General features: G+C 47.7%; 1 protein-coding gene across 4 annotated transcripts in view; it reads right to left on the reverse strand.

Annotated features, from left to right (window-relative positions):
- Positions 1-5,204: 5,204 nt before the first annotated feature.
- KSR2 (kinase suppressor of ras 2) overlaps positions 5,205-12,321 on the reverse strand; it is a 515,979-nt gene continuing 508,862 nt past the window's right edge. For all 4 annotated transcript variants that reach the window (XM_011538224.4, NM_173598.6, XM_011538225.4 and 1 more), the window contains one exon: positions 5,205-12,321. This exon is cut by the window's right edge and continues 7,077 nt beyond it. The gene's annotated coding sequence lies outside the window, so the exon portion shown is untranslated.

Genomic DNA, 12,321 nt, shown 5'->3' on the forward strand with positions numbered 1-12,321 from the left:
TTGTCAAACACTACTGTAATTTGGAGCCCTGGGAAGGGCAGGGACTTACATTTAGAGCTGGACCTGGACACTCCCAGCTGCCTGCCTGCAGCCATGGAACAAGCAACTCACCCCAGGGGCAACCATTGCAGACTGCTTAGACAAACAGTTACTGTTGGGCATGTTTTGGAAACTAATGTTAATGTCAGGTCAGGTGAGGCCTGCAGGGACCCAGCCCCAACCAGAGGGCAGTGGTGGCCAGAGGTAGTGGGGAGGGATTGGCGTGTGAGAGTGTGTGGGGTGAGCAGTAGGAATTTACATGTCCTAAAGTTGAGCAAGTGTGGATGTGGGTGTGCATGTGGACGATAGAGTATCTCTGTGCACACGTGTGTGTGTGCATGTGTGAGCACATGGGTCAGCTCCCGGAAGGTAAGGCGGGGACTTGAGGGTGGGGCCACCTCTGGAACCTGTAGGCCTATGAGAAGAGGGTCCCAGCCAGGAGTGAGAGTCCCCGCTTTGGCCAACTCCACCCTTACCTGGAGCTCCAGCCACCTGCACAGGCCATACCTGCCTCACCCTGGACATGACCCTACCTGAACTCCCTGGAGCCTCCTGGAAGATGTATGAAATGCTCAAGGGGGACATGGACCTTTCCCCAGAGCTCATTTCAGGATGGGGGAAGAACTGCTTGCACCGTGCATGTGGGGTTTGCACGGCTGACCACATCAACTGACTGGCCACCTCTGGACCACCACTGCCTATGAGCCTAAGCCCCAAATTTTAGCCTGGCATTCGAGGCCCTCAACAAACGTCCCCCATCCAAGTCCCAATGCTGCTTCCCAGAATGCCCTGAACTAAAACATGCACTGAAGTCTTACTCTGTGCTAAACACTGAAAGTTTTTTACATTAAGTCAATGAGGATTCACAATTTTTTGAAATAGGCACTTTCATGATTTCCATTTTACAGATGAGCGGGCCAAGGCTCCAAGAGGTGAAATGACTTACCCAAGGTCACACAGCGGCTAAGTGGTGTTTTGGCCACGACACAAACTCATATCGGGGATTTCCTGACTATGCATACAAGATGCTCCTGCTCAGAGGTGGCGGCAGACTCCCTGAGGTTAGTGTCTTTGGTTTGCTTTTCGGAAAATGTGACCGTGCAATTGACGGGAGACCCAGGTTCAAATCCCAGCTCTGGCCCTTTCTAGCTGTGTGGCTTTGAGCACATAGCACATGTCTCTGAGCCTTGGCTTCTGCAACTACAGAATGGGGATGACTGTTTTCAACTCCAAGGGTCTTGACTAAGCTGGGCAATGTCTGAATGAATGATCATTAAATGTGTGAGCTGGTAGCATCCCTGGCCCTGTGCCCACTGCATAGAAGGTGTTTAGGAATGCTGGCTTAGATTTCAGTCTGTCCCTTAGCAATTTACATCACTTCTCTTGCTGCGTCTGTAAAGTGAAAGCAGATGACTTGCTCTCCAACCAAGGTCTTTCAGTTCTTCCGTGAACACTGTCCAATTGCTCCCCACTGTAACCCAAGCCCATGTGCCCCACCATGTCCTGTACTTGCAGGATTTCTCAACCCCAGCACCACTGGCATTTTGGGCTGGATAATTCTTGTTGTGGAGGGCTGTCCTATGCATTAGAGGATTTGAACAGCATCCTGGGCCTCTAGCCATTAGATGCCGTTAGCATCCCTCAGTTGGACATTGCCAAGTTCCCCGGGGGAGGTGGGGGGGGCAACATCGTCCCTGGTTGAGAAGCATTGATTCATTGCAATGGCTTTTCGTTGCCTCTTGTCTTCCCTGGAAGTCATCAAGAATTGCAATTCAGGCCAGGAGAGGTGGCTCACACCTGTAATTGCAGCACTTTGGGAGGCTGAGGCAGGAGGATCACTTGAGCCCAGGAGGTCAAGACCAGCCTGAGTAACACAGAGAGACCTCTGTCTTACAAAAAATAAACAAAATTAGCTGGGCATGGTGGCACGCACCTGTAGTCCCAGCTTCCTGGGAGGCTAAGGTGGGAGGATCGTCTGAGCTCGGGAGGTTGAGGCTGCAGTGAGCTGAGATGGTACCACGGCACTCCAGCCTGGGCAACAGAGTGAGGCCCTGTCTCAAACAAAACAAAACAAACAAAAAAACTGAATTGCAGTTCAGAGCATGGGCCCCAGATTCAAATGGTCTGGGTATGAATCTTGGCTCCACACTTCCCACTGTGTGATGCTGAGCAAGTCACTTAACCTCTCTGAGCCTCAGGAGCTTCATCTGCATAACAAGAACAATATAGCATTTGCTGCATGGGACCATGGTAAGGGTTAAGTGAGATGACAAATGTAATGTGCTTAGCACTGTTCCTGGGAACTGAATGATGGGAGATGGGAGATGTGGGTGGGCTCTGGAGAGTCTCATTCTGGGCAAAGGTGAAGAGGAGTCCAGGACTAGAGGGGTTTCAGAGGCCTTGTCCCTGCTACCCAGGCAGCTGGGCAGGCACCTCATCTGTGCCTGTGTTTCTGGTTACCAGGCACTTGCCCTGAAGCCTGTGCACAGAGGTTAATGAGCTGTTTAGTTCCGATTACTCGCAAGGTTTCCCTCACTCAGCTCAGCACCTGCTGTGCCTGATTGATGGCGACCCCAAGGCCACAGAAGACCACAAGCCAGAACCAGGATAATCAATTAGTTCCAGGCCCCAGGAAAGACTCTTCCCCTTCTCTTATGCCTGCAAAAGGAGAGAGGAGGATGGAAGGTTCTGGTATTGTTTCACACCGCCTCCCCACGTCAACACTCTCCCAGAGATTAATGTCAGATCTGGGCTTGAAATAGCTAATGTGTATTGATTGTTTATGCCAGGAATTGTGCTACATGTTTTACCTGCTTTTAATCCTGACCATAACTCTCTGAAATGAATGTAGTTATTATCCCAATTCTACAGTAAAAAAAAACTGAGGTTCTGACAGTTGATGTCATTGCCCAGTTGGGTCACCCAGCTGGTCTGAGTGAGATAGCCCAGGACAGACATGCAGATACTGTAGGAGACTTTCACTTTTTGCAACCTCAGTTTCCCCTTGTGTAAAATGGGCCAACTCATACACCCACCCCATCTGAACGTGGTAAGTGGGAAGAAATCATGCTTGTGAAGGTGTGTCGAAAAGTTTACAGTGCTAGATACCAATTGCTGTTCTCTGAGAGAGAGATTGAGGGTGAGACAGATCTGGGTTAACTCAGCAGAGATTTGCATTCTAGGGTGCAGACGGTCACTCACCGTGGAGTTTGCCCTTAGGCACTAATGTTAGAAATGAACCACAGTCATACTTTTCTTTTTTCTTTTTTCTTTTTTTTTTTTTTTGAGACAGTCTCACTCTGTCGCCAAGGCTGGAGTGCAGTGATGCGATCTTGGCTCACTGCAACCTCCACCTCCCAGGCTCAAGAGATCCTCTTGCCTCAGCCTACCAAGCAGCTGGGACCACAGGCACCCACCACCATGCCTGGCTAATTTTTTTGTATTTTTAGTAGAAACAAGGTTTCACCATGTTGCTCAGGCTAGTCTTGAACTCCTCCTAAGTTCAAGTGACCCACCTGCCTCGGCCTCCCAAAGTGCTGGGATTATAGGTGTGAACCACCACGCCCAGCCTAGCAATAAATATTCAAACTAGCAACTCATGTATTTAAGAACACTTACTGGGTGCTGGTCACTGCTCCAAGTACTGATGTTAATTCATCTAAGCCTCATAACGCTGGGAGGTAGGTACTACAGGTACAATAATTATGCCCATTTACAGATGAGACAGTGGAGGCTCAGAGCAGCTAAGTGACCTGGCCAGGGCAATATAGCTTGCATATGGCAGTGCTATTTAACAGAATTAGACTCCAGCCTGTCAGTCTGCTCCCTTCCAGCGCATGCTGAGAAGAACTTACCAGGACAGATGAGGCCAGTTCTTCCATCTCTCAGCAGCAGCTCCTCAAGGGAGGGGCCTGGGAGTTCCAGTCAGATTTGCCGGATAGCCTGTTTCTCCATCTTCAGTTATTCTGCTGTCGAATGAGTTGAATAGTCCCAGCCTCACTGGTTTTCCAGGTCAGGTGAGATCTTGTTTCATAAAAGCACTTTATAAAGTGGCTTTTAAAAATCCAAGGTACTTAGAAGCCCATCATGCTGTGTGTGGCCCCAAGAGGGCTATGAGTTTTGGGTTCTGAACTTGGGGTGGGCCAGTTACTTCATCCCTCTGCACCCAGCCTTCACATCTATAAAATGGAATTGTGTGGTTGTGGGGATTAATCTGGGCACAGATCACATGCTCAGTGTGGAGAGCTGTAGTTGTGTGCACATCCGTGTATATTTCTGCATTCACACGACGAATTCACGGACGAATTTCTGCATTTGTCCCTAGGGGAGAGAATGCATTTTTGCCGGGCTGGCTGGAAGAATACTTGGCCAGACTGTGATAACTTGGATTACGGTGCAGGAAACATTCACTTCCTTCCCCCTCCCACTCTGGGTGGAGTTTACAATACTGTCCTATTGAAAGGCTCAGTTATTTGACTTGCTTGACCCAATGAAATGTTAGTGCATATGGTTTGAGATGATGTCATGAATGTGTCTCTACAGGCTGGTTGGCTTTTTTTTTTTTTTTTTTTTTTTTTTGAGACAGGGTCTTGCTCTGTCACCCAGGCTGAAGTGCAGTGGCACAATCATGGCTCACTGAAGCCTCAACTTCCCAGGCTCAAGTGATCCTCCCACTTCTGCTTCCTGAGTAGCTGGGACTACAGGTGACTGCTGCCATACCTGGCTAATTTTTTTTTTTTTTTTTGTAGAGATGAGGTTTCGCCATGTTGCCCAGGTTGGTCTCAAACTCCTGGGCTAAAGCAATCTGCCTGCCTCAGCCTCCCCAAGTGCTGGGATTACAGGCTTAAGCCATCATGCCCAGCCTTGTTTGGCTCATATGTTCTGATGATCTTTCATGGGAAGAGCATGCCCCAGGGAGTTTCTTCTTCAGCCTGGCCCCTGAAACAGGGAGACATGTGGAGCTGACTTGAACTTGACCTGAAGCCTAAAGAGGAGCCTCTTAGGTAAACCCAACCTAGAATCGCAGACCCACGAGCACGAGGATAAATGTTAGCTGTTGTAAGCTATGGAGTTTGGGGGAGGCTTGTTACACAGCATTACCGTGGTGATAGCTGGCTGATACAATGGCCAATGTCATAATTCAAGCTTCTTTCTGTACAACAGACAACAATAGAATTCAGACCTGTCTTGGCAGTAGTGCAATGCAGTAATTCTCAAATTTTTTATTGGCATAAATAATTCAGACATTGGTTTCTCACTAAACATTGCACTAAACACAAGAAACAACAGGCTTGCTGGCTCAGAGGCACACAAACTGTCCAACAGCCCAAGTTAGAAATACTTTTTTTAGAAGTGTAGAAAACTTTATAAATGATTCTGTACAAATATACACAGTGGACCCTCCATCCATCTGGCCTTTCTTTCCTGGATGGCATCTGAATAGAGTGTTCCTTCTCAGCAACAAGACATTGGCAACAAGTGAGAAAGAGAGAGACAGAGACGGAGACAGACAGAGATAGAAACGGAAAGGAAAAGAAAGAAGTGGCCCCCCAAAAGAAAACATGAAACCACCTTCTTACATCAACTCACTCTGCAACAGTCGACACAAACAAACATGGAGAAAAGAATATGGACCATCGGTCCGCGTTGGTCTGTACAAGAATTAGTCTTTATATATATAATATATATGTATAATATTTATAGGTCTATATACTTTGTGTATAGAAAAAGATAACAGCATAATTTACATATAGAGAAAGCCTTTTTACAATTGAGGAATTTTCCTAAGGTCAGTAACTTCAAGAGTAATCAATCAAATTAATCATGCGTTAAGTCTGTCGAGTGGATCCTGGTACAAGATCAAGTCTCAAAGAGAGCGAGAAATGAGAGGCTTGGGGTGGAAACGTTGACCACCTAAGTCTGGGATCTTCTCTGCCTGGTCCAGGTATGGTCAAGGGCACAGATGTAATGTGACTTGCCTTATCTGCCCCAGTCAACTTCTGCTTTGGGATAGGGAGGAAGAATGTTCTGTTTCTATGAGGGCCTTGGTGGGGTGGGGGCTGGTCTTGCCAGAGACTCTCTCACATCCTAAGAGACCTCTGCCTTGTAGACGGGGGGAGGGGGTGTCCTTATGACACTTGGGCATCCCTCCCCATGTTCACCAGGACACAAATATCTAAATAAATGGGTAACACCCACCACCTCGCTATTCTAGTCCCTTATTTTTCAGGAATGTCCCCCTAGAGGTGGGATTCTGGGGGAGGTTCATTTGGGTGATTGAGAAGAAAAGCCACATTGATGAAGCACCTACTGTGTGCCAGGTATTGCGTAACGTTATTGACATTCATTATTTCATTCACTCCCTCCAATAAACTCAAGGGTTAGTGATATATTAAGTGCTCGTGGGTTGCACAAAGCTAAGAAAATTCAAGGAATACTCTGGAGGGGCTGCTGATGCTGAGAAAGTGTTGATGAAATCATTATCCACAATAGACAGTGGCTCAAGAAATGCAAATTGAGTCAAGTTGAAGCAGATAAACAAGCCTCGCTAATTTGCAGTAGCCACATATACCCTGGGAGTCTGGCGGTCAGCAAAGATGCTTTGTTTTCTGTCTTTCAAACCCTGACATATTTATAGAGACAGCAAACACACCACTCCATCAACAGGACTGATACATTCTTTCCCACACTTCAGGCTGTATTGCAGGCTTGGCCTGTGGCCCACTATGGCCCCTAGGTCTTCTTCAGTCATTTCTGTAACAAACCAGCATTTTGCCCATCATACCTGAAATGTTTAGTTAGAGACCCTCAGTGTAGGGTCTTTCCATAAATACATTTCCACGTTCACACATGTCCTTGACCTCAACACTTCAGGGGCCTATTCATAGAGTGATATGAACTGTCCCAGAAAGAGGTTTTTTGCTGAAGAAGGTTTTTTGGTATGGCAAGACAGAACTGGGGGCCCCAGAGACATCAGAGACACAGGTCGCAAGAGTCGATAGAGGGAAAGTGAAGCAAAAGAGGAACAGGAATGAAAAATGCATTAGAGAGAAGGGCTCATGGCCAACCCATCTATAGCCAAGATGCCCATGGACTTCAGGACCCAATGCAGGGCACTAAGAAATAGAGACACATCCTTCACTGTGTGGAGGCAGGCAGAGACAGAGACAGACACAGAGACAGACAGACAGAGAGAGAGAGAGAGAGAGAGAGAGAGAGAGAGAGAGGTCTGTAGAGCCAGAGAGGGATGCAGAGCAGGCCTGAGGTGGCCTGAGTACTGGTCTGACTCCAGCAAGCACAAAACTCTCCTCAGACATCTTCCCCCACAGGACACCAAGGCTAACAGTAGGAACCAGAGCATGCTGGGGAAAGAAGTCAAGGTCTCCACATCTGAGCCAGGGCACCCTCTGTTTGGAGATGGAGACTCCAGGGTCCCAAAATCAGGCTTTGGGGAAAGCAGGGAAAGGCAGGCAAGTGCCAGGGGGCAGGATTTTAGCCACTTGCAGTTACCCTCAATAAATCATGATCTTGCCTCTGAGTCCACACATAGGCTGTTCCTTCTGTCTGACACACCGTTCCCTACCATTCTACTCAAATTTCAAGACAGGGTTCAGAAGTCTCCTCCTCTGAGAATCCTTCCTGGAGGGTCTTTCTCTGGGTTGGGAGCTCCTGTGGGGCCTCGGGACCCTACTGGAACTCCTCCCTCTCTTCATCGGACTCCTAGTACCCTGAAGGCAGCACCCACTTTTCTCCATTTTTTCCAGAATCACAGGAGGCACTTAACAAATATTTACTAAATGACTATATAAAATGAAGATTTGGGGAATGAAGGGACAAGGTTGCTCCACGCTGGGCTCTGCTGAGGGTGTAGTGAATGGGGCTGGGGACATGAGCCTTTGAAATACAAGCAAAATTTTCTTAGAATCCTTCGGCTGCTCAACTGTAGGCATTTGAAATCCACCAATGTACCCAAAAATAGGGCTATGAGGAAACTAGAGGACCGGGGCCCAGAAGCAGTGCCTTGTGGAATATGGGACAGCTATGGGAGCTCATGGAGAACAGAGACTCCAAATTGGATGCCATCTTGGAAGTGGAGTCAGAGAAGCTCATGTGACAGCATGCCTGACATGCCACCATATGGGCTTCTGGCCTCTGTGCTCCAAGCCTTGGGGCTTTATGAGGATTGATTCCAGACGCAAAGTCAGGGTGTGTTTTGATGGGGTGGGGAGTACAATCTATGATATTCCTTGATAGGTTAGGACCGCAGAGGCCCTCAGGAGGAGATAGACTTCCGAAAAGAAGGAAGAAGGAGCCAGGCAAAGATTTATGCATCACACAGTTGGGCAGAAGCCTGACCAAGGACAGCCCCTCCCTTAATGCTCCAGTCGAGCCAGGACTGTCCAGATAGCTTTGAAGGGGCAGGGTGTGCAGTGCTCCCTAGAAGGCTGGCTAGGAGGGAAAGGGGGCCGGGGCAGGGGGCCTCGGTGTGGCAGGGCAAGTACCTTAGAGTACCTTGATGCCCATGCTGTAGCTACATAGCAGTTACTTGAACTTACACAAGTTCATATGTACCCATCTAAACATTATTACTTGTAACACATGTAGAAAAATAAGCAGAGGAAAATGGCTAGAATCTTACAGGACCAATACATTACATTTGTTGTCCAGGACGCACTTAAGCTGCCAATGCCCCAACCTGGGCAGGGCTGTGTTGGGGAGAGGTTGACCCCATCTAGGGCAGAGCCCCAGCCAACTCAACTGTCTTCTTGGAAGGTGTCCCAATTCCCAAAGCAATTTTCCAAGATCTGGTCTTTTGCAGTGCCCGACTCGTCCTCTCTGTTACCCTTCCCAATCCTGGGACTGCCGGAAGCTCCAGGGATTTGATTCTAGGGGTAAAACAGCTGGACCTACAGAGGCCATCCTCACCCACTGCCTGTCTCCATGCCCAAATCAGTCACACGGGACTGGACAGAACTGCCACATCTTGTCCAGACTGTCTATGTTGTTGCTTCATTGCTACCAGAGACAGCCATTCTAACCCGGCCTGACTCTCTTCTTCACAGTGAACTGGGAATTGCAAGGAAGGTAGAAAAGGCCCTTCACTATCTGGGAGACTTTCCTTCCTGGGGAATACAGAAGGGCTTTCCCTGAGTAGCCTCAGAAAGCAACACCAAGATTGCCGGATGCAAGTCTCAAGATTTCAGCTCAGCAAGAGGATCTGCTTCTTAGAAGGGCTGTGGAAGGATGGAGAGAATGACTGGAGATTTCAGCCCCTGTCCGTGCAGACGGTGAAAGGCAAGTCCACATTCTCCTTACCTAGACAGCCTTCAAACCACTGGTGATGCTAACTAGTGCTTTAAAAACCTATTTCCCTGCAATGTTCACTTAAGGAGTCCCCTCCTTGTGTTTTCCTGTTCTCCTCTGATTTCCTTTCTCCCATGGAAGGTTGCAGATGGCAGGATGCTGGATTTGAATCCTAGTCGCGTGGCCTGGAGACAACTCAGGGGACATCTGGCAATGTCTGGAGATGGTTTTGGATGTCACACTTTGGATGTCAACTGGAGGCTTTTGAAATCCACCAACATACCCAAAAATAGGGCTATGCTGGAACTAGAGGACCGTGGCCCAGAAGCAATGCCTTGTGGAATATGGGACAGCTATGGGAGCTCATGGAGAACAGAGACTCCAAACTGGATGCCATATCAGAAGTGGGGGTCAGAGAAGCTCAGGTGACACCATGCCTGACATGCCACCATATGGGCTTCCAGCCTCTGTGCTCCAAGGCTTGGGGCTTTATGAGGATTGATTCCAGACAGCAAAGTCAGGGTGTGTCTGGGGATGTTTTTGGATGTCACCAGTACCAGGTGCTACTGGTATCTTGTGGGGAGAGTTGAGGAAGCTGCTTAACATCCTCCAATGCCCAGGACAGTCGCCACCTCAAAGAATTATCTGGCCCCAAATAGCTCAACAGTACTGAGGTTGAGAAACCCTGGCTTAGAATGAACATCTCTTTATCCTTCTCTTCCTTTAGATCTTGACTTAAATGTCACCTCCTCAGAAAGACCTTTGTCAGCAGCTCTCCCACAGTATACCCTCTCCCATGTTTCTGGTCCCCCGTGAGTTTTCTTTCCATAGATCTACATGAGTTGCAAATTTATATATTTGTGGTTGACTTGCTTCTTGTCTCTCTTCCCCATTGGGCTTTAGGCTTCAGAACAGGTGAGACATTGTATCACTCATCACTGAATGCCCAGGGTCTAACACATAGTAGATGCTCAACAAATCACCCACTGAATGAATGGTTGGTGAAGAAATCTCTGTCAGAGAGGACAGAGGTTCACTGAATTCCAGACAAACCCAGAATGCCAGCATCTGTGTGAGGACACAAAGACCTCTCTTCTACCTTGTTCATCCTGTCGCCCACCACTCAGAAAAGGCCTCTGGTTATTGTTGGCCTGTATTTATTTCCTCCTGATATCCTGGTACCAGCCTTTCCAAAATTCTCACTGTAGTGCTGGAGGTCAGGGTATTTTTAAACTAGAAGAACTAGCCAAGCTGGTTTTTTTTTTTTAAGTGGTGGAAAAGAAAAACTAAGATTTGTTTTTAATCATTAGACTTTCAAATTTAAGAAGGCGCGATGCAAATAGCATGTTGGCATAAACAAGTGCTGCCCGCTCAATGGAGGGAGGGAGCCTTTCTTCTGAGCTAATTTAAGCTAAATACATGGCAGCTATTTTTCATCTCTACAATTGTGCAACTTTCTCCTCAGTTTACAATACAGGGGAGATATTATCGGGCAGAAGTTGGATGGGGGATAAGTGAAGACGAGAAGGAAAAGAAGAGGCAGTGGACAAGAAGGTACTCTCAGCCACCGAGCTGGTGATTAGAGGTATTTCAAGAGCTCAGGAGTAGAGCTGGTGGTCCACTAGGACCTCAAGATCTTATCTGGGTGGAAACTTGATTTTGAGCCTTCCATTCAGGGAAGAAACCAAAGAGCAATTGGAGTCAGGCTCCTTTTCCTGCCCTTTATATGCAGCACCCCCTGACTTCCCAGAAGCCCAGACTGAACAGCAGAAATTTTACAAACCTCCTCAAGAAAGAAAAGCCCTTGCAGCTCTCCTGCACACCACCACGCACACTGTTATTCCTTAAGGCCCCCATATGCCGTGACTTCCAGCCCAGCTGTTACTAGACTGGGCATAGCATTCAGGCCTTGTGGTGAAGCCGTCCCAGAAGATAAATGATTTTTCTCCAAGCAGGCAGATTACCGAGTAGGATCATACACAGAGTCTTAGAGACAGAATCTTTCTTTCTGCATTTTCCAAGTTCCCTAACTGAGAAGAAACATCTGCAGAGCGCTGATAGACTGTCCACCAACTACAGCCCAAATGGCTTGGCTTCTGGAAGTTTCTGAGGCCTGAGTTCTAAACCTACCTCTGCCTCTTAGAAGGGACCTGACTTAGGGGAGTTTATTATAGCTTCCCTCTCTGGGCCTCAGATCCTGCTTCTGTGAAAGGAGAAGAGTGAGATAAGGGAGGGTCACTCATATCCATCTTAAGTGGTAACTCGAATGCCCTGAAGCTACATCTGTGATCAGTGGGAAGGCATGCTGTGATGGATTAGTGATGTCTGCCAAGAGTACAGCAGGGGACACTGGTGGTAGATCCATTACATATTTGTACTCCTTGGACCAGATCTTTATCCTTCTAGATCTTAGAGGTCCTTCTAGATCACCATCCCAATGACTTGGTTGAAGATGAAAACTCAGGTGAAAACTTAACCCTTCTGAGGGTGTTACATCTTATATACTTTTCACATTGGCCTCCAAGCCATGGTATGTTGGAGAAGCCACCAACACACAGCAGATTTGACCCCTCCATTGGAAGACACCATCAGCCAGATGTGGTGTTCTTGTTCATGGAACCACTGTCCACATGGATGGAATCGGGCTCTAAGCTACCTTTCTCATCTCCTAGCAGTGTCTATGAATGCTAGTGGTCAGCTCTTTTCTGTGGGCCAGTACATTGACATTGCCTCCTTCAGTACCAGGTAAGGTATCAAGTCTCATTCACAGAGGTTGACCTTGTTGGAGATTCAGAAACAAGCCTGGGAAAGCTTGGGAAGAACAGCCTCCTATCAGGCATTTAGAGATTCAACCACACAATAGTGTCTTAAAAGTTCTGATAAGTCCTGCAATCAAGAAATTAGTTTCATTTTACCTAAGCATTTCCAATGCATGCTTGTCCCAGGACCCTTTCAATAATGCAAATCCGGCGAGTTTTC

Source organism: Homo sapiens, chromosome 12 (assembly GCF_000001405.40).
Source record: "Homo sapiens chromosome 12, GRCh38.p14 Primary Assembly".
Classification (NCBI taxonomy): Eukaryota; Metazoa; Chordata; class Mammalia; order Primates; family Hominidae; genus Homo; species Homo sapiens.